The sequence below is a fragment of the Homo sapiens genome, chromosome 4 (genome assembly GCF_000001405.40).
Source record: "Homo sapiens chromosome 4, GRCh38.p14 Primary Assembly".
Taxonomy (NCBI): Eukaryota; Metazoa; Chordata; class Mammalia; order Primates; family Hominidae; genus Homo; species Homo sapiens.
The window spans coordinates 56,149,334-56,172,405 of record NC_000004.12 but is presented as its reverse complement, the minus strand read 5'-3'; the positions used below and the strand labels follow the sequence as shown (position 1 = coordinate 56,172,405).

General features: G+C 40.6%; 1 protein-coding gene across 6 annotated transcripts in view; it reads right to left on the bottom strand.

The window, feature by feature from the left end:
• Positions 1-23,072, bottom strand: part of CRACD (capping protein inhibiting regulator of actin dynamics) — a 281,512-nt gene that overhangs the window by 158,204 nt on the left and 100,236 nt on the right. The window contains exon 1 of one of the 6 annotated variants that reach the window (NM_020722.2): positions 2,156-2,211. The exons of the other annotated variants lie outside the window; for them this stretch is intronic. The gene's annotated coding sequence lies outside the window, so the exon portion shown is untranslated. Of the gene's footprint in view, positions 1-2,155; positions 2,212-23,072 lie in introns of those variants that run through there. 6 annotated transcript variants of the gene reach the window in all.

Below are 23,072 nucleotides of genomic sequence, written 5' to 3'. Positions count from 1 at the left end.
CTGGCACTTGAGAACAGATTGTAACAGAGAAAATACAGCTGAATTACTCAGAAGATTTCTGCCCAGCAGCGGTAACTGTGCTGCTTGCTGTTTCCCTCCATGCAGAATTAGGTTCCCATCAAGATGGCTTCAGTTTTTCAGGCAAATACAATGTGGTCACTTTGAGCAGTGTCTTCTCAGCCCATTCTCAATAGCAATTGGCAAAAGAAGCGGTTTTAGTGGACAGTGGGACCTAAATAGTGATACTATCTTCCTTTTATTCCTCTGCGACTCCCCAACTAACAGAAGGATACTGCAGGAATGATCTGAACTTTGGGACAGGAGACCCATTTCCAGCCTTGGCTAGATTTAAAGTTATACTGTAAAGTTGAAAAAAAAAAAAAAAGAGAAACCCTCAAAAGATACCTCCACGCACCAGCAGGAGTACAGAAATTCTGTTCCTCCATCTCCTGCCTTCCCCAGCCTCTTCCCCAACAGAACTTCTGGGAACATGCAGGTTCAACAGACCTCCTTAAAGCTGTGTGTTTGGAGCTATAAAGGTGGAAAATCTGAAACCATGAGCACATGGAAACATATTCACAGGTGCCTTACCCACAGGACGGAGGCAGGCATATGGTTGAAATTCCCCACCACCGCCCCTAGATCTTATAATTTTCTACTATTTGTCTGCACAGGGAACATTTCTTAGCTAAGCTACAATGTTGATAGTCTGTAAGCTTACCACTATTCATTATTATTTATCATCCTCCTTTTGTTGTGAAACTTCAGTGGCAAATTGTCCATACTTGTTATCTCCACCATCTCAGCATTGTTCACTCCTTTACCCCCCACCTTACCTTGATCTGATCATTCTACTCAAATTGCACTTTTCAAAGTCACCAATAACCTGTGAATCCCAAAATAAAAACTGTTGCTCAATTTGCTTTTGTCTTGACACCCACCAGTCTCTGATCTACAGCCCCCCTAATCTATGATGCTGCTAACTGGACAACACTACTTGAAACTGTTCCTTTAGTTTCTTCGATACTGTGTCTTCCTGGTTGTTTTTACATACTCTTTTGCTCCTCCACTGATAACTATTCACAGTAAGTATCTGTTCCTCGTCAGCTATAATGACCATAGTCTTTCTTTTTTTTTTTTTATTATACTTTAAGTTCTAGGGTAAATGTGCACAACGTGCAGGTTTGTTACATATTTATACATGTGCAGTGTTGGTGTGCTACACCCATTAACTCGTCATATAATGATCATGGTCTTTCTAAGACGATCTCTGTCATTCTGCTTTTTCATTCTCTGTCATTTTCCATGCCCGATTAGTTTTTTTAAAAATCTTATTTGTTTCTTTCTTTGAATGTCCCTTTAATCTGTTATTTCTGTCACCACCATGATGCAGAATCCCACCTACTCATGCATGACTTGCTGCAGCATCCTATTATTTAGTTTGTCTGCCTCTGTTGAACCCTAAACATTACTGCCAGATTAATTCAGCCAATTATCCTTGTGTTAAATTACTCCCTATTTACAAAACACATGATGACTCCCCATTATTCATGTAATAGTTTTTTAAGAGATAGGGTCTCATCCTGCTGCTCAGTCTGGAGTGCAGTGGCACAATCACAGATCACTGTAACCTCGAGCTCCTGGGCTCAAGCGATCCTCCCGCCTCAGCCTCAAGCTGGGACTACTACAGGCACACACCACCATGCCTGGCTAATTTTTAATTTTTTGTAGAGATAGGGTCTTGCTATGTTGTCAAGGCTAGTCTCAAACTCCTGGCCTCAAGCAACCCTCCTTTCTCTCCCTCCCTGAAGTGCTGAGATTACAGGTGCAAACCACTGCGCCCAGTCTATTCACAGAATAAATGTCTGAGTCTGCCATTCAAGTTCCCCCAAAATCCAGCCCCTCTTTACCTAGCCAAGATTTGCTATACCCAATACCAAAAGTATATAAAATGACTATACCAAAAGTATCCAAAATGATACCCAGATCTCTAAGCCTCCCTATTTTCAATGAGCAGCACAGAGAACTCTTGGTTTTTCCCTGGACCTTCCACTTAACATTGCCACTACCACTGTGATTCATGGTTCCCACTCCCAACAGAGCAACTGAACATGTATCATCCCCTCAAAGAACCTGCGCTCTTCAGAATACCCACTCTTCAGAGCTACGTGGATTCTACCAGGATTACTCCAGTCAAACCAGAAGGCATGTGACAGGCAGGGAGTGGCAAGCCAAGAAGTGAAGGGTCCTCTGTGTTTGTGATGTCGGCATTCGAATGTTATTCCATTACAGGGGATGGAGGAGGAAGAGGAGGAAGGAAAAAGGAGGGTTTTTTGTTGTGGTTGTTGTTGTTGTTGTTGTTGTTCTGCTACTCAGTGAAAGTACAAACAGAACCTAAGTATCATAAACTGAACTCATTCAATTCTTTTCAGTAAAGTAGCTCACCAGATAAATACCCCTGCTGGTTGTTTGAATTACATATGAGTAAACTGATCTGCTTCTTTATTTTCAACTTCTCAAAGGCAACTGTTCACAAGCACATCTTAGGAAACAAACTCATCTCCCTGATACTTGGCTGCAGAACAAATGGTTAAAGATTAACAATACTCTTAACGGGCCAGTCGTGGTGCCTGTAATCTCAGCACTTTGGGACGCCAAGGCAGGTGAATGGCTTGAGCTCAGGAGTTCGAGACGAGCCTGAGCAACATGGCAAAACCCCGTCTCTACAAAAAAATACAAAAATTAGCTGGGTGTGGTGGTGTGCACCTGTAGTCCCAGCTACTTGGGAGGCTGCGGTGGGAAGATTGCTTGAGCCTAGGAGGTAGAGGTGCCATCAGCGAAGATAGCACCACTGCACTCCAGCCTGGGTGACAGAGCCAGATCCTGTCTCAAAACAAAACCAATACACTTAAAGGAAACTCTAAAGTTCAGGCATGAAAAGATAGGCCTGGCAAGGGTTCATGAACCTGTTCTCTGGGCATGGGAGGTAAACGGACCACCAAGGAGCCTTTCCTTTTGAGAGTACTATTCCCTGAGCTAATGCTAGAAACTCAAAGCTCCTGATTAGATGATAAAAATTATTTATACTTTAGATATGATGCTTGTTCCCAAAACTGTAACCATATGGCCTTCCATATGGAACTGTCTTGAATTTCCATTCTCATATTTTCATTTCCTCTAAATCAGCTCATCCCTAGGCTCCTTTGTTGGGATTTCAGAATATAGTAGAGATTCTTCCTGATTTAGCTACGAAGAAACAACTTACTCCCTATTTGTTTGTTCTCTGGCAGTGGGAACAGATTTCCACTGATCCCTCCACACCTCAGCCCCTAATGAATCTTACCCACTTCAGGAATGCCTTTGTAGTGAGCCCCATCAACAAAGGTAGTCTGTAACCTTAAATAATTTGACTTGTTTAATATATTGGCTTGTGAAGTTTGTTGCTGAACTACTGATGACGTTTTTCTATGGAAGCCATGTGATAAACGGTCATTAGGTTCTCAGGCTAGCTCTCATGCCCATTCACCTACTCATCCATAGTATCACAGCAGTAGTATGATGGGGGAAAATCTTTCTGCATTCCTGAATCCCCTTGACCTAAAGGTAGGAAAGGAATGAATGGTTCCAATTTCTTTGTGTCTTTGTGTCTTTCTAGGGATCCTTTGCATATACAACTATAGTTTTATATATATAAATTTATATTATATATGTAGTTACATAGTTATATATAATTATATATATAGTTGAATATGCAGATAATATTATATATATCCATCAGTGGACAAAAAGATAAATAAAATGACATATATATGTGAATACTGTTAAGCCTTTATTCTTATTTTTTTCAATGAGACTCATTTTATGAGACCAGCATAATCCTAATACCAAAAACAAATACATGGTAAGAAAGCTAGAGAGCAATATTCCTTATGGACATAAATGCAAGCATTAAGTTAAAAATTGGTAATTTGAATTCTGCAATATGGTAAAAGGATAATATATTATGTCCAAGTGATGCTTATCCCAGGAATGCAAGGTCGGTTCACAATCAGTGTAATTTACAATATTAACAGACAAAAAGAAGAAAAATCTTAAAGAGTTTCAGAAAAAACATTTAACAAAAAACAACATCCTTTTCTAATAAAAATGATTTAAAAACTGGGAATACAAGACAGTTTCCTCACCCTGATAAAGAGCATCTATGAAAAACTTACAGCTAACATCCTACTTGATAAAAGGCTGAATGATCTCCTCCCAAGATTGGCAACATGGCAAAATTGTCTATACTCTCTACTTCTCTTTAACATTGTAGTAGAGGTCATAGTCAGTGAAACAGACAAGAAAGAGAAATAAAAGTGATACAGATTGGAAAGGAAGAAGTAAAACCATCTTTATACACAGACAACATGATAATCTATGTAGAAAATCCTGAGGAATCTATCAAAGGTAACCAGAAGTAATATGTGAGTTTCCCAGGGTTTTAGGATACTAGGTCAATAAATAAAATTAACTGACTTATTTCATTTAGCATAATTTCCTCAAGGTTCATCCATGTTGCATATTGCAGGATTTCCTTCTCTTTTAAGGCTGAATAATATTACTGTGTATACATATGTCACATTTTTTAAGTCCATTCATCTGTTGGTGAATATTTAGGTTGTTTCCACATATTGGTTTTGTGAATAGTCTATTCAGACTTTGAAAAGAGGGAAATCCTATCATTTGCGACAACTTGAATGAAATTAGAGGACCTTATGTTAAATGAAATAAGCTAGGCACAGAAAGACAAATACCACGTATTATTGCTTATATGTGGAATCTAACATGATCCAAATCATAGAAGCAGAGAGCAGAATGGTGGTTACCAGAAGCTGGGGAGGGGAGCTAACAGGCAGATGCTGGTCAAAGGGTACAAAGTTTCAGTTAGACAGGAAGAATAAATGGTATTTGAGATGATGATATGTTAATTAGCTTGATTCAATCATGCCACATTGTATACATATATCATAGCACCACTTTATAGCCCATACATATATACAATTATAATTTGGCAATATCCAGTTTAATAAGTTAGATACACATTGTCCTACACATTTCTGTTTTCTCTTAAAATAACTTGGAGATCTGTTGCATATCAGTACAATGTGGATCTGTCACGTGCTTTTTAATAGTTCTACAGATATAACACAGCTTTTTTGAAAAAAATGAAATAACTTATAAATCTATTGATAATTTCATAAATTGTATAATAAAGGTAAACTTAAAATTTCCTTTTCTCATTATAAAAGTAGTAAATAATCACAAAAGAAAAATCAAGAAGTGAAAAATATTACCCACAATCCCACTAAAACTTTGTCAGTGTAGTTTTTTCAAGACAGTGTTCTTAGAGTCTGATGGATGGACATTCACACCAGAATCACCTCAGGTGCCTGTCAGATGAGCAGATTTCAGAGCACTGTCCCATACTTATTAAGTCAGAATTTCTGAGTATGGTGCTTTATTTAGTATTGGAAGATTCACAGATGAAGTTTGAAAACTGTAGCTGAAGGCCCTTTTCTCTGCCTTAAAAAGTTTTCATTATATTTTACATGCAATGTTGCATTCTTCCTTTAAAAAAAATTTTTACAGCTAATGTTTTGTATTTTTCCATGCTACTAAATTGTCCTTGCTGCTACTATCATTGCAATTGCCTGTGTAATACTCCATTAAATGGTTTTTTTTTTTTTTTTTGAGACAGAGTGTCTCTCTGTCTCACCCAGGCTAGAGTGCAGTGGTGTGGCTCACTGCAACCTCCGCTTCCTAGGTTTAAGCGATTCTCCTGTCTCAGCCTCCCGAGTTGCTGGGATTATAGGCATGCACCACCACACCCAGCTAATTTTGTATTTTTAGTAGAGACGGGGTTTCACCATGTTGGGCAGGCTGGTCTTGAACTCCTGACCTCAGGTGATCCACCCACCTCAGCATCCCAAAATGCTGGAATTACAGGTTTAAGCCACCATACCCAGCCAAATGAGTATTTCTTAATTTACTTATCTGTTCATCTGTTGTTGGACACTTAGGATCTTCCCATTGTATTCATTTTTTAAAATAGCACTGCAACAAATATCTTTGCTGCACATAACTTTTTCCATATTTTGGACTACTTCCAAAAGATAAAATCATATAAGTGAAAAAATTGGGTTAAAAGAAATAAATATGGTTAAGGCTCAGAATGCAAACTGCCTTCCAAACTATATTAATTTATATTTCCAGCTGGGTACAGTGGCTCACACCTGTAATCTGGGAGGCTAAGAAGGGAGGATCGCTTGAGGCTGGGAGTTCAAGACCAGCCTGGGAAACATAGAAAAAAACCCATCTCTACAAAAAAACATTTTTTTATTAGTTAGGTGTAGTGTTGTGTGCCTATAATCCTATCTACTCTGGAGGTTGAGAAATGACGACTGCTTAAGCCCAAGAGTTCCAGGCTACAGTAAGCTATAATTGTGCTACTACACTGCAGGCTGGGCAACAGATTGAGACCCTGTGTCTTACAAAACAAATTCAATTTCCACTAGCAATGAATTAGTTTTTGCTCTCTCCATTTGAACTCTTTGCTTGCTAATTTAATAAGCAAAATATTATTTTTTAATTTCTTTGTAAGGTAAACATTTTTCTGTATGTATGTTGAGTAGCATTTCTTTCTTGGTAAATTATTAATGTTATTTGACTTTTTTCTCATGAGGTAACTCTTTCTACATAAATAGGATAGCTTTATTTAACCTTAAAGTTATTCCCTAATGCATGAAGTACTGAGATTCTGGGTCTCTTAAAGGTATAACCTTTTGGCTGACTGGCACACTGCTCAGAGAGCCAATGTAGCTAAAAGCATGGACTTAGCAGTAATCTGCTGCATACTAACTGTGTGTCCCTGGGTAAGTTACTTAAATCTTAGTGCTTCAGCTTCCTCACCTTTAAATGGCAATGGTGATAATCATTATTAATAATCAATGGTTTCCTGGATTGAATGAGTCAGTACACATAGCACCTGGCACACAGTAAGCACTTAATAAATGAGAGCTGTTAGCCATCCTGTAGATGTGAGCTCCAGAGGAGCAGGGATTTCTGTCTGTTGCTGCTACGTCAGTGCCCAGCTGAGAACAGACTCTCAGTGGATGTTCTTTAAACCACTAGGCTGAGAAACATCACTGAAGGCAGTAATGTGTCTGCTAAAGTGCCTGCAGTCTGCACCTTTCATTTTCCCAGGCAGTTGGAGGTAAAGATGCGGGTAGGTCAGACTGACGATGGCAGAAAGTGATAAAATTCACCTGAACTTCCTTAACACAGTGAAACAAGAGCTGCTCTGGAATCTGCAAAGAATGGCCAGAAACTGCCATCTGGGTCAGGACATTCCAACTGCCCAAGTTGTTTCTCTTTCCTCCCACTTGATTTCAGAGATCAGTCCTGCCCAGATGTTCTCACTAGGTCTGTCTTTGAAAGGAAACAAATGGAGGACTCTGAACCAAATTGCATTCAGAATTTAACCTGAAGAGCAATTTATTAGAACCTTTTAGGTCGATTCTCCATTTATCTTTGCCTGAGAAACTCTATAACAGTTTTGATCAGGCTTACTGAGGTATAACTTACCACCCTTCTTATGTATACAGCTCACATACATGCACAATAATGTCACCACACTGCAATCAAGGTATAAAACATTTCCACCACTCCAAAAAGTTCCCTCAGACTCCTTCTGTAGTCGATCCCATCCTCCGTCCCCAACCTCTGGTACCCACTGATCTGATTTCTGTCCCTATAGTTTTGCTCTCTCCCAAATGTCATATACATGAAATCATACAGTATGGCTCCCTTTTGTGCCCAGCTTCTTGCACTCCGCCTAATGCTATGGAGATTCTTCCATGTTGTTGCACGTATCAGTAGCTCACTTTTATTTCTGAATATATAGTTTTTTGAGCAATTAAAAAATTATCTCCTGGGCCAGGTGCGGTGGCTCACGCCTGTAATCCCAGCACTTTGGGAGGCCGAGGCAGGTGGATCACGAGGTCAGGAGATTGAGACCATCCTGGCTAACACGGTGAAACCTCATCTCTACTAAAAATACAACAAATTAGCTGGGCTTGGTGGCGGGCCCCTGTAGTCCCAGCTACTGGGGAGGCTGAGGCAGGACAATGGCGTGAACCTGGGAGGTGGAGCTTGCAGTGAGCCGAAATTGCGCCACTGCACTCCAGCCTGGGCGACAGAGCAAGACTCCGTCTCAAAAAAAAAAAAAAAATTATCTCCTGTACCAGCAAAAGTATATGTCTGAAACTTCCCGTCTATTTTTACAGAAGCTCTACAAGTGTCAGAATGCCCATTAGATACAAAGGTCAGGCACTGGCTCACACCTGTAATCCCAGCACTTTGGGAGGCTGAGGTGGCAGATCACTTGAGGCCAGGAGCTCCAGACCAGCCTGGGCAACATGGTGAAACCCCGTCTCTACTAAAAATACAAAAAAATTATCTGGGCATGGTGGCATGGGCCTGTAATCTCAGCTACTCTGGAAGCTGAGGCATGAGAATCATTTGAACCCAGGAGGCAGAGGTTGCAGTAAGCTGAGACTGTGCCATGGCACTGCAGTTTGGGAGACAGAGTGAGACTCTGTCTCAAAAAAAAAAAGATACACACAAAGAACTTGCATAACTCAGAAAATCAAAATAACAGGAAGATATCGTGGATTTGTAACTTGCTGAGTGCATACCACAGTGTTCCTGAATTATACAGATATTTTTTCTCATTGTATTAAGAAATAAAATTTTAAAAGCAATTTGGTCCCATTAGAAAATGTCATAAAACAAAAATTTTTAAAGTGCTTCATAAAAATAAAATGAAGCAATCAAACTAGATAAAAATTGTTACTTTTTTTAACATAAGGGGACTCTATATGAACAAAGGATAGATTGGTTTATTTACTCATTTCCTTTGAGATTGTTAAAGGACAAGCATCAATTTCACATTACAAATGATATTCAGCTGAGTAAATCAAAATATTTTACACAAACCATCTCATCAATCTGCACATCTGTGCTGTATGAGGAAAAATATTATGTATCAATATTTTTAGCTTTTTTTTTTGAAGACGGGACTCACTGTTGCCCAGGCTGAATATTTATAGCTTTAAAATTGAGTCATTGTCAGAGGTTAAATGTCTTACTCTATCTTTTTCTCTCCTTGGAACGTCTCGAAGGCAGAGACTCATTTTCCTCATCTACCTGGCACAGAGAAGATGCTCATGAGGCATCTCCTAAGGCTGAAAGAGGTCTCAGAATAGCGTGGAGGGTGAAGAGGCCATGCCCCAGAGCAGAGTTGGCAAATTACAGCCCATTGGTCACATGTAGCCCACAGTCTGTTTTTGCAAACAAGATTTTACTGACGACAGCCATGCCCATTCATTAAAGTAATGTCTACACTGCTTTTCCTCTGCAACAGCAGAATTGAGTACTTGTATCAGAGACCACTTGGCCCAAAAGCCTAAAACCTTTACCATCTGGCCCTTTACAGAAGAAGTTTGCCAATCCCTAAGGCAGAGCACTCTACCCCAACCAACAAATTAAACAACATTTTGCCTGATTATTTCTAAATTGTAAACTGTTACTAGAATTTGAACTCCTTGACAGGTGGGATGTTGAATGCCTCATCTCTGCTGTCCCCCACTGTGAAAAGCACAGTACAAAACCTTGGACAAGGCAGGCTTCAGTAATTATGTCCTATAATGGAAAGTGAAGTTGTACCAGGTGGGCTCCAAGTTAAGGATTTATCTGTATTAGCCTTGGCTCTTAACTACTTACTTGTTTCAAAGGATATTATGAAAAAGAAAGAATTGTGAAGGTTAAATCCAAATGATGCAATTTAAAAATTCAAGCCCAGCTAGGCATGGTGGCTCATGCTTATAATCCCAGTGCTTTGGCAGGCCAAGGTGGGAGGATCTTGAGACCAAGAGTTCAAGACCAGCCTGGACAACATAGCCAGACCCCTATTTCTTAAAACAAAAACAAAAAAACCACAAGAATTAGCAGGGGCATGGTGGTGCACATCTATAGTCCTAGCTACTTGGGAGGGTGAGGCGGGAGAATCCCTTGAGCCCAGGAGTTAGAGGTTACAGTGAGCTATGATTGTACCCCTGCACTCCAGCCTGGGCAACAAAGTGAGACCCTGTTTCTAAAAAAAAATAATAATAATTTTTAAAAATAAAAATTCGAGCCTAATAATAAAAATCTACCCATCTCTGATCCAAAATTGTGCTTTTCAACAAAGTGGTGCTTGTAGTCTCACCTGCCCTGGTTAGGCTGTGGTTAACATTAGCTAAAAGAATGTGCAAGCGGAATGGTGCCAAAGCACAATTCACTTTGGGAGGCCGAGGCGGGCAGATCACTTGAGGTCAGGAGTTCGTGACCAGCCTGGCCAACGAGGTGAAACCCCATTTCTACTAAAAATACAAAAATTAGCTGGGTATGGTGGCATGCACCTGTAATCCCAGCTAATCGGGAGGCTGAGACAGGAGAATCACTTAAACCCAGGAGGCAGAGGTTGCAGTGAGCCGAGATCATGCCACTGCACTCCAGCCTGCGCAACAGAGCGAGACTCCATCTCAAAAAAAAAAAAAATGCTCTTTGGCTAGGTGCAGTGGCTCATGCCTGTAATCCCAGCACTTTGGGAGGCTGAGGCAGGTGGATCATCTGAGGTCAGGAGTTCGAGACCAACCTGGCCAACATGGTGAAACTCTATCTTCACTAAAAACATAAAAATCAGCAGAGTGTAGGGTAGTTGTGGCAGGTGCCTTTAATTCCAGCTACTTGGGAGGCTGAGGCAGCAGAATCGCTTGAGCCCAGGAGGCGGAGGCTACAGTGAGCTGAAATTGTGCCACTGCACTCCAGCCTGGGTGACATAGTGAGACTCCATCTCAGGGAAAAAAAAAATTAAGAGTTTAAAAATGAAGAGATTTCATTTGCTAGTAATGTGAATAGTCTGGTGGGCATGTGTAAAAAAAATCATTCTCAAGCTCCAAATTACATCAATCTGGGTTGCTTTTTTTTTCCTTAACCTCAAACACCAGAATGAAACAGTTCTTTCTTTCCACAGGCCCTCCTAATTTTACACATTGCCTAAACATGTAAATTTATGCAAAAGCAAAATATTATTTTAGTCCTTTCTGATAGAATCACTTTCATTAAGTGATCTTCCTATAAAAACAAACATCTCGCTGAGTTACCCCTACAAATCCATAGACCGAGAACTAGTTATTACCATTACCAAGAATAATGAACACTTTTCAGTTAATTACTTTCTTTAAAGACATTAATGAGTTTTTTTAAAACTACAAATCTTATTTAGGATGAGGAATATTTCTGTAGTTTTCTTACTACATCCAGAACGCCCAGATAAAACCTTTGTGTGGAATGCTTTATCTTCTTCTGCATCTTCCTCCTGCATTGGTGAACAGGTTCAAGATAAAAGGTACTGAGGAAACACGCACAAGGTATTCCAGCCTATTAACAAAGTGCAGGAGGTTCAAATGGCAGGAGTCCAGGGGACAAGGAGCACTGAGCAGGAAGCTGCACCAGAGGCAGAGGTGAACAGGCTCAGAGTTTATCACGTAACAGGTGCGCATACGCACGTCAAATCATTTCATTTGTTTAATACCTGGGAAAGGTAGGCATGACTGTCCTCACTTTACTGATTAAGAAACTGGGACTCCCAAGGTTTAAGCAGCTTGCCCAAAGACAACATAGCTGATGGGGCAAAAGCCCAAGTCAAACCTGCATTCAGTGCCCTTTTATTTAGTGCCTTAATGATCCATCATGCAGCATCTGTCTTCTGCAGGCAGGAGGCGAGGGTCTGTTCATATTAATATAAACTTTATAAATAGCTTGATTTAAAAAGCAGGTAGTGGCCAGGCACGGTGGCTCACACCTGTAATCCCAGCATTTTGGGAGGCTGAGGCGGGCAGACTGTTTGAGCTCAGGAGTTTGAGACCAGCCTGGGCAACATGGCAAGACCCTGTCTCTACAAAAATATACAAAAATTAGCCAGATGTGGTGGCACATGCCTGTAATTCAAGCTATTCAGGAGGCTGAGGCAGGAGAATTGTTTGAACCCAGGAATTGGAGGTTGCGGTGAGTGGAGATCGCGCCACTGCACTCCAGCCTGGGCGACAGAATGAGACTTCTTCAAAAAAAAAAAAAAAAATCAAAATATGGGAGTGACTTAGCTAGGATTTTTCTGGTATAATTGCTTACATTAGACAAATATGCATTAAGTTTTAGAAAAAAAATTCCAATGAAAGTCATTTTTGGCCGGGTACAGTGGCTCACGGCTGTAATCCCAGCACTTTGGGAAGCCGAGGCGGGCGAATTACCTGAGGTTGGGAGTTCAAGACCAGCCTGACCAACATGGAGAAACCCCGTCTCTACTAAAAATACAAAATTAGCCGGGCGTGGTGGCGCATGCCTGTAATCCCAGCTACTCAGGAGGCTGAGGCAGGAGAATCGTTTGAACCCGGGAGGTGGAGGTTTCGGTGAGCCTAGATTGTGCCATTGCACTCCAGCCTGGGCAACAAGAGTGAAACTCCGTCTCAAAAAATAATAATAACAATAAAGTTATTTTTAATATTTTAATATTTTTTAACTCAAGGAGATGAGACTGTAGGTACTATGTAGGACCATGCCCAGCAGATTATAGGGGGGTCAGAAGAGACTATTGTTTTTTGTTTTGCTTTGTTTTGAGAAGGAGTCTCGCTCTGTCACCCAAGCTGGAGTGCAGTGGCACGATCTTGGCTCACTGCAAGCTCCATCTCCTGGGTTCATGCCATTCTCCCACCTCAGCCTCCCGAGTAGCTGGGACTACAGGCGCCCGCCACCACGCCCGTCTAATTTTGTTTTGTATTTTTAGTAGAATGGGGTTTCACCGTGTTAGCCAGGATGGTCTCAATCTCCTGACCTCGTGATCCACCCGCCTCGGCCTCCCAAAGTGCTGGGATTACAGGCGTGAGCCACCGCGTCCAGCTGAGACTATTGGTTTAGCACTGATGACCTCAGCATTTGGACAGTGCAATTATGCACAGAAAGGTTGTATATAGCTGACTACAGAGACCCGCTCTATAAATGTATAAATTTTTATTTATCAATCGATAAAAGAGACCTGTTCCCAAGAAACGGTAAAAATGTACTAGAGATATAGCAGTCAGTGCTAGAATGTTTTCCCCTGTGAATACTTTTCCTTTAAGTAACTTTTCCTTCCTTTCTATAACTTTATAACAGGACTTGAGTAGTGATTCCTCCCCAGAGGGGTGAGACGTCGTCACAACACTATAAAGTAATAACTGCCATCACATAACATACAACATGCAACCACTCTGGCATGGGACAGCTGGGAAATGCTCCACAGGGAAAATGATTTGAAGTTGGAGATGAAGAAAGAGTCCAATTCTTGCCACATGGGAAAGTGAAAAAGGAGAAAAGAGCATTCAAAGGCTCAGGGGAGAAAGCGTGCAGGCTTGTATTTCTCTGGAGTTCACAGGACAATGCTGAAAATGTTGTGCTCTAAGATCTGTGCTGAAATAGTTCTCTACCTTTCATCAATATGCAAATTCAGAATTCAGCCAGGATCCTTAAAGAGCTGATTGATGGCTGCGTCAGCTCTGTGACATCACCCTGACAGATGTGGTCGTTTGCTGTCACCTTGTGACACACATTCTCCTCTCTGTGTTGACATATCATCGCCCACATGACAGCCAGCCATAAAGGTAAGGCATTATTTTGCCCTAAAACAAATATCAGGCTGGCGGTCTTATGCTGAGATTTATCACCGTCTACAAAATACTCATAAAGTGACTGCCAATTGAGGTGCAATAATTACAACTCCTCAGAAATATGCTATTTTGAGATTAAGGGCAGAGCACAAACAAGGTCTACCTTGATGGAAGAAGGCAAGAACTTGCTGGATGATCTTTGTTCTTTCCTTTAGAGGAATTATTTTTAAAAAAAAATACCATAAATTTATTTACAGCATTTTCTGTAAGGGTCAAGAGATTTTCAGGCAAAAGCGCTATTTCAGCAAACTGAACATAAACCAGCCTTTCATTTTCAGAAAGCCACCCCTGCATGATCTGAACATTGTAAAGAACATATATACATCAGAACCACAGGCACAACATAGAGATACAGAACATTTGGTATTTCTACTTGATCTGTGGAAAAGGGATTCTTCCCACTGGTGTCAGCAACCAAATCTGGAGGCCTCAGTATGAGTAGTTGTTTTAGGATTGCAAGAATGCATCCATGCATATGTATTTATTTATAATTTGCCTCATTCTTCATGGATTTGACATAGCTTTCAGCAGGTACATATGTAACCAAATAACAGCAAAACATTGGTAGAAATTAAAAAATCCAGGCAGGGAAAATATTTTAAATGAGAGTAGAAATTCAAGACTACTAAAATGAAAGACACATACATGTATGCCATCACTGAACTTCAAGTTTGACTCTGGGGCCCCAGGCACTCAAAATGAAAAGAGAGACCCAGTTAGTCCCATCCTTCTCATCAGCAAAAAGGGAGAGGCATACAGTGCCTCAGGAAGGCAAAGTTATCCTGGCCCTGAATTTTAAAAGGAAGTTCTCAAACAGAGCATTCTTCGAACAACACTGAAATGGGACTCCCCTGAAAACTTCTGTAATAAATGCAGTAACGACTCCATATGGTTTTCTTTCATAGTATCATCCTTGACTTAAAAAAAATAGCATAGTGTAAGACGTAAAAGACCGACTCCATGAAGGTGATTCTTTAGGCAACCCACTGAGATCATTTTGCTCAGCGATGGTATTTGCTAGCTAACTGACAAGAAATTCAAAAAATAGTGGATGGATGACATTTCCTCCAGTCAATCTTCCAGAGTGTAGACCCTCATCCATTCATTCACTCATTTGTTCCTTCATTTCTTGATCTTCTACTAGATATTAGGAATCAAGTTAGGTGCTATGGATCCAAAATCATACGAAGACATAATCCCAATTCTTAACAACCTCATCGTTTAGTAAACTTTGATTTTCTTTTTAGTTTTAAATTTTTTGTAGAGATGGGATTTTGCTATGTTGCTCAGGCTGGTCTAGAACTCCTGGCCTCAAGTGATCCTCTCACCTTGGCCTCCCAAAGTGCTGGGATTACAGGCCCTTTGATTTTCAAAGATACTTTTTCCATCAGGAATCTTATCTCCATAAATTTTTACTGCAACCCTTCATGGCAACTTGAAAAGGATGATACAATATTTACCATACTTTAATAAAAGCATTCATTATATAATTTCATTCTTTGTCTTTTTAATTTTTTTCTCCACAAGGTTTATCATATTTACTAGTTTATTTGACAAATGTTTATTAAGTGCCCATTATTTCCAGGCACTGCTCTTGGCACTGAGTTACAGTCATGAAAAACAGCAACAAAAAATCTCTGCCCTTATACAGAACATACATTCTAGTGGTAATAGGTACAGGCAGAAGGTTCTAAAATAATTACATATATTAATTCATGTAACCCTCACAATAACCCAAAGGATAAGGTGCTATTACTGTTTCGATTTTACAGATCAGAAAGCTGAGGCAAAGTAAGCTTAAATACCAAAGTAATACGACTATTAAGTGTAGAACAGAGATTTAAACTCAGGCAGTTTGGTCCTAGAGTCCATGTACCTAAGCACTGCAGTGACTGTCCCTAACTGCTCAGGAAAAACCTGGTTGAATGAATGAAGAGAGGAGGACAGAAAGGCTAGAGAAGAAGTCAGGAAAAATGTTGTAAAGATTAATCAAATCTTACATTCTGCAGAAAACCCAAATGGTCACAAAGTACTTTCAAATGAAATGTTATTGAAGCTTCATTACCACTCTCTACAGCATGTATTCTGATTCTCATTATTCAGAGAAGAAAACTGAGCCCAGAGCCTGTCCTGGTCACACGGTTGGCGGGTGGTAAAGTCAGATCTCCTGTGCTCTTTCTAACACACCTGAGAAGCAGGCAGCAGCCAACTCAGCTGGAGGCGCCCAGCAAAGCCTCTCAGAGGAAGGGCCACTGAACTGCACCTTGAAGACAGTGAGTGGGACTTTTAAAGTGACAACATTCGGCCAGGTGCGGTGGCTCATGCCTGTAATCCCAGCACCTTGGGAGGCCAAGGCAAGCGGATCACTTGAAGTCAGGAGTTCAAGATCAGCCTGGCCAACATGGCAAAAACCCCATCTCTACTAAAAACACAAAAATTAGCTGGGCGTGGTAGCCTGCATGTACTCCCAGCTACTGGGAGTCTGAGGCATGAGAATCGCCTGAACCCAGGAGGTGGAGGTTGCAGTAAGCCAAGATCACACCACTGCACTCCAGCCTGGGTGACAGAGCAAAACTCTGTCTCAAAAAAAACTCAATAAATATTTGAACCAAAACACATTTTTTCCCATAGGTTCACAAATCAGAATGCTGATTCCAAAGGCAAATTTGAATGAAAAGACATTCTCAGGTCCTTAGAGATCAATGGATAGGCCCATCTAGTTATCACAATTAGTATCTCTTTAAAATTTTAGTTATTTGAAAATATGCTATTCCTACACAAACTGTATTCTATACAGTTTATTACTAATTCATATGCAGCACTGCTCTCCTCAGAAAGCATGCACACAAATGTTTCAACCGAAAACTTGTGCTCATTCTTGCATTTCCTTGAGTGAGGGCCCAGGAGCTAGACAGCGTAGGTTTGAAATCTGGCTTGGGCCTCAGTTTCCTCATCTGTAAAATGGGAGCAATAATAATCCTACCTGATAGGATAGTTATGGGGATTCAATCGACGTAGAAGGCTTAAAACAGTACCTGGCAAATAGTTGCATTTAGTAAATGTTTGCCAATGCAATGTTTTGTATTATTTTTTCCAAATACTCAGTCTCCTTCCTGGTTCCTCATGTATCCCCAGAATATCACCTGATATACCCACGGGTTCCATGTCATTTGCAGGATCCTACAAGAGAATTATTTACGTCCACCCATTGACAATGAGGTTGGCCATGTCACTTGCCTTGGCCAACAGCATGTAAGAAAACATGAAATACGCAATGTCAAAGCAGAAGTTTTAGGAGCCACTGTGTGTCCACTGACTCTCTCTTTTCCCTTAGACATGAGCATAGTATGTCCCAAATAGGGGCCCCTCCTTCAGCTTGGATCTTGAAATGAAAAGACTTGTGCCAATCTGCCACAGATGTACAATGTGGGCAAGAAACAAACCTCTGTTCTTGCAAGCCACTAAGATTTAAGGGCTATTTATTGCCACAAAATAGCTGACTAAAAGGGCTGCTATGATGATGATGATGATGATTGGACTGAATTGCAATTTTAACACAAAACATTTAGTTTTGAAAAACTTTTTAAAAATCAATAGGTAAAAAAGAATCCCAAGTTTTCACAACAGATTTCTTATGACAGATGTGAACTGGTCTAAAATATCTCTTAGATATTTGGTCAAATACCTCATAGAAAAGTGAGTAACTAGATTCCTATTCTTTATTGCTGCTTCTTTTTTCCTCTATCTAGCAACTGTATCCCCTAACAAAACCTTCTAAAAGACAATGATGAGCATCTCTGCTGACTCATTTTCCCACTCTACATTTCTGTCCTCCTTGGGAGCCATGATTTACAAGATGGAAAACAGAAGTCAGGAGACTGGCTTTCAAAGGACTCTTGTGAGCTAAATGTCCTTGTAAAAATAAGCTATTTTTTTATTTTAAAGATAAGGGAATTCATAATGCAGATTTCTTCATAGTTTATTAATAGATTCTCACAGATTCTGTTTTCCTGTCTCACCCCTTTGTATTTTTTAGAAAAAAAATAGCTTATAAAAATTATTTGATTCTCTTACATCAACAATCTTATTTATTTATTTATGACAGGATTTCACTCCTGTTGCCCAGGCTGGAGTGCAACGGCGTGATCTTGGCTCACTGCAGCCTCTGCCTCCTGGGCTTAAGGTATACTCCTGCGTTAGCCTCCCGAGTAGCTGGGACTACAGGTGCATATCACTGAGCCCTGCTAATTTTTGTATTTTTGGTAGACACGGGTTTCGCCATGTTACCCAGCCTGGTCTCAAACTCCTGGGGCTCAAGTGATCCACCTGCCTCAGCCTCCGAAAGTGCTGAGATTACAGGCATGCGCCACCATGCCCGGCCAACAATCATATTTAAATCTTCTTCTCCATACCTCAAAAAGGCTGCAGATCCTCCTTTAGGCAAATGCATCATGTTCACTTCTGGTGGTATTAAGCACTGAACCACAGTGACTCTCTTCTAATAGTCTGCTTGCACTCTGGCACAAGCTAGTCCAAGCTGCTATTCTAATAGAAAGTAAAATAAGCAAGTAAATAACCAAGTGCCTAGTTAAGTACTAGGAAGAAAAGAAACAGGATTTTGATAGTGAATAACGAGGTATGGGCTGAGATAAATGTAACTTGCATAATTGGGGAAGACCCATCTGAGTAGGGGGCAATTAAGATGAGTGTAGCTAGTAAAGGGCAAAAGGACACCTGTCCAGGTGAAGCCCTGAGGGAGAAAAGGGCTCAGAATGTCTAAGGAACCAAAAGAAGTTATGTTTCCCTTGCTGTCTACATTTCAGCAAGAGAAAGAGGAACATGAGATGTGGCTGAAGAACGAAATACAAGTCAGATCATGGGGGACTTTACATTTCATTTTGAGAGGAATTACAAGGCATTGCAGAGAATTTTAAGCAAGGACGTGACATGCTCTGATTTTCATGGATAAAAGTGCATGGACACGGACTAGATGAAGCGAGAGTGGTGAAAGCCATGAAGAGCCTACTGGGAGAAACAGGAGGAAGGAGGGCTCAGCCAAGAGGATTTGGAGAGAAGCGTGAAGACATACACCACATCTCGGAGGTAAAATACAGAATATTTACTGACAGAGTGAAGCTGGGGTTGGTGGAGAAGACCGCAAAGAATAAGGCCTGACATCAAGGTTTCTCGCCTGAAGAGGGTGATGATGCAGTTTACTGAGACGGAGATGACTAGAGGAGGAATCTAGTTAATAAATGAAGTCAGAAATTGCTTTTTTTCTTCCCCAAGATGAAGTCTCACTCTGTCGCCCAGGCTGGAGTGCAGTGGTGTGATCTCAGCTCACTGCAGCCTCCGCCTCCTAGGCTCAGGCGATTCTCCTGCCTCAGCCTCCCGAGTAGCTGGGATTACAGGCATGTGCCACCGTGCCCAGCTAATTTTGTATTTTTAGCAGAGATGGGGATTTCACCACATTGCCCAGGCTGGTCTCGAACTCCTGACCTTAGGTGATCCGCCCACCTCAGCCTCCCAAAGTGCTGGGATTATAGGCGTGAGCCACTGCACCTGGCCAGGAATTGTATTTTGAACAAAGAAAATTTAAGATTCCTATAAGATATCCAACTGGAAGTACTCAGGTGGGCAACAGAAAAGACAGGGAAGGAATTCAGAGGAGAGATCTGAGCAAGCAATAAATCTTCCCTCCTACAGGTGAAGAGGGCATTCCCATGGGAAGATGACTTAGCACAGGATGTCAGTGCCAGAAAGTAAAGACATTATACATGAAAAAGGGTGACATATCAAAAAGACAGAGCCAGCTTGAAGTGCCTCTCACTGGCCAAAAATACTTCACTTTATTTTATCTTTTTTGAGACAGGGTCTCACTCTGTCGCCCAGGCTGGAGTTGCAGAGGTGTAATCATAGCTCACTGCACCCTTGAACTCCTGGGTGCAAGAGAGCCTCTCTTTGGACAGATACTGCATTAATGCTTTTTTTAAAAAAAGAGAGAAAGAGAGATTCTCCCACCTCAGCCTCTGCAGTAGCTGGGACTACAGGTGTGCACCACCATGCCCAGCTAATGTTTTTTTTTTCTTTTTTTGTAGAGACAAGGCCTTGGTATGTTGTCCAGGCTGGTCTCAATCTCCTGGCCTCAAGTAATCCTCATGACTCAGCCTCCCAAAGTGCTAGGATTTCAGGAGTGAGCCACCACACATGGCCAAAAATATTTATTACAAAAAGAAAAAACTATTTGCAGCTGGGCACGGTGGCTCAGGCCTGTAATCCCAGCACTTTGGGAGGCCGAGCCGGGTGGATCACGAGGTCAGGAGATCGAGACCATCCTGGCTAACACAGTGAAACCCCGTCTCTACTAAAAAAAAAAAAATACAAAAAATTAGCTGGGCGTGGTGGCAGGCACCTGTAGTCCCAGCTACTCGGGAGGCTGAGGCAGGAGAATGGAGTGAACCCGGGAGGTGGAGCTGGCAGTGAGCCGAGACCGCACCACCGCACTCCAGCCTGGGTGACAGAGTGAAACTCCATCTCAAAAAAAAAAAAAAGAAAAAACTATTTGCTCAGTGCCAAAGCCCAGCAGTCACCCCCTTAATCAAGTGTTCAAAGTTAACATCATCAGTGACGGGATGACTCAAAATCAAGAGCCACCTGATAGGGTGCAATGAGAACACAGATCCTCTTCTGTGAGATTCCTGGGAAAATACCTAACTTGCATCTAATCATGAGAAAACAACAGCCAATCATAAACTGAGAGATATGCAACAAAATAAGTGGCAAATAATCTGCAAAAATGTGAAGGTCATCACAGTCAAAGAAGGGTTGAGGAATGGTTCCAGATTAGAGACCACAGAGACATGGCAACTAAATACAACATGCAACCTGAACTGAATCTTTTCGTTAGAAAGGTCATGATTCAGACAAGTAGCAAAACTTGTATGAGGTTTGTAGATTAAATGGTAGCAAACTAATAATGTTAATTCCTTGTTTTTTGTTGGCTGCATTATGAATGTATAGGAGAATATCCTCATTCATAGAAAACACAAACTATTCTAAGATATTAAAGTATCTAGTTGGCAACTTACTCTTAAACGGCTCAAGAAAAAACATTATTTGTATTGTATTTGCAACTTTTCTGTAAATTTGAGACTGTTAAAAAAAAAAGGCAATGCGTTATAATAATAAGCCTGTGCATCAGACTGGTAAACATTAGAGGTCTGACCAATACCAACTATTTGTGAGGATATGAAAACCCTCATACCCGCCAGGTGAGGTGGCTCACGCATGTAATCCAAGCACTTTGAGAGGCTGAGGCAGGCAGATCGCCTGAGGTCAGGAGTTCGAGACCAGCAGCCTGGCCATCATGGCAAAACCCCGTCTCTACAAAAATTACAAAAATTAGCTGGGCTTGGTGGCATGCGCCTTTTGTCCCAGCTACTCGGGAGGCTGAGGCAGGAGAATTGCTGGAACCCGGGAGGCAGAAGTTGCAGTGAGCCGAGATCATGTCATTGCAGTCCAGCCTGGACAACAGAGCGACACTTCGTCTCTAAAAATATATATACATATATAAAAAAGAAAACCCTCATACAGAGCTGTTGACAGTGAAAACTGGAAGAGCCATTTTAGACAACTGTTCGGCACTATCTAATAAAATTGAAGACACACATCCCCCATGACTCAACAATTGCACTCCTGGAGAATCTCTTGAATATCAGCACCAGGATGTTCATAGCAGCCCTGTTCGTAAGAATCAAAAACTGAAAATAACTTAAATATCCATCAATAGCAGACTAGGTCGATTGTTTATGTAGTGGACTACCATATAGTAATGCAAATGAATGAATTACAGCAACATTCACCAACAAGGATGGATGTCAAATGCAATGTTGAATGAAAGAAGCAAGATACAACCATTTAATAAAGTTCAAAACTATATTGTTTAGCTGGTAATACTTTAAGGTAATTATTATCACAAAAGTCAAGACAGTAGGTGGTGGGAAGGGAAGAAATTATGATTGGGAAGATGCATAGCGGGTAGGTGTTGTTTCCGGATGCTGGCAATGTTTCATTTCTTGCCACTAGAGTAGTGGCTCCATGAGGGCTCATTTTATCACTGTTTGTTAAAGAGTAAATACATGATCTGTGTGTTTTCTGGATATATATATTTCATAATTGTAAAGCTATTAAAAATGATTGCTTCTACTTCCCAGATGCTTACTACGTACCAGCTACTACACTGAGCACATGTACATGTTTTATCCTATTTAAACTTCTCAAACCTATGAGGCAGTACTATTACTATTTTCTCCCTTTTACATATGTACAAAGTGAAGCTTCATGACATCTAACATCATGGCACTAACAAATGGGGACATTAATCTATTTTAGGCTGACTTCAGAGCTTCCAAATGTAACCACTAAGTGGTTTGCAAGTATTACTTTGATTGATCTCTATGTTTCAATGTGTGCTTCAGAATTTGGGCTTCTTGAGGGTTTTCTCTGTAAGTTCCCATAGCATTTAATATAGTGCTTTATAAGTGAGGCTTGATAAACATTGTTGACTACTTGAACAATCTGTCATTTCTATAACAAATGTTATAGAAATATTTTTCAGTCCTCCAATCAATATGGAGAGACTGAGTTTTCAATTATAAGGCAAAAATCTTTAAAAAGTCATCAGAACTAGGAAAACACTCATGCTGAAACCGAAGTTAAGAAATTTACATGACTTTGACATCAAGAATGCACACAAGTACATTACAGCAATCTCCAGGAGACCAATGGGCTTGAGATAGCAACACATGCACAGCTCATCTGAAAGAATTATGTGTAGCCATAAAAATTCAAACTAGCTCTGAAAATCAGGGTTTTGTACTTGACAAAGTTCTATTGAGACTATTTCACTGTACTATACTTTGAACAAAAATCATCGCTTTTAATTTATTGGCTTTGAAATTATACAATGTGCTCTCCCCCCAAATCTCTACATTTTGTTTGGCTCAAACATTATTTCATTTATTTCCCATTTTTCAGGAGTTTTATGTGCAAATTTACAGATAAGCACATGTAGAATATTTAAAAGGAACTGAATAAGGAAATGTCACAAAAGAAATCTTCTTTTCTTTCCATTTCTATTACTAATCTCAAACTAGAATCTGAGGAGTGTGAGAATTTTATCTTTCTTCATGAAAGGCTAGATCTTTGTACTGATTTGTAGTATAATACAGC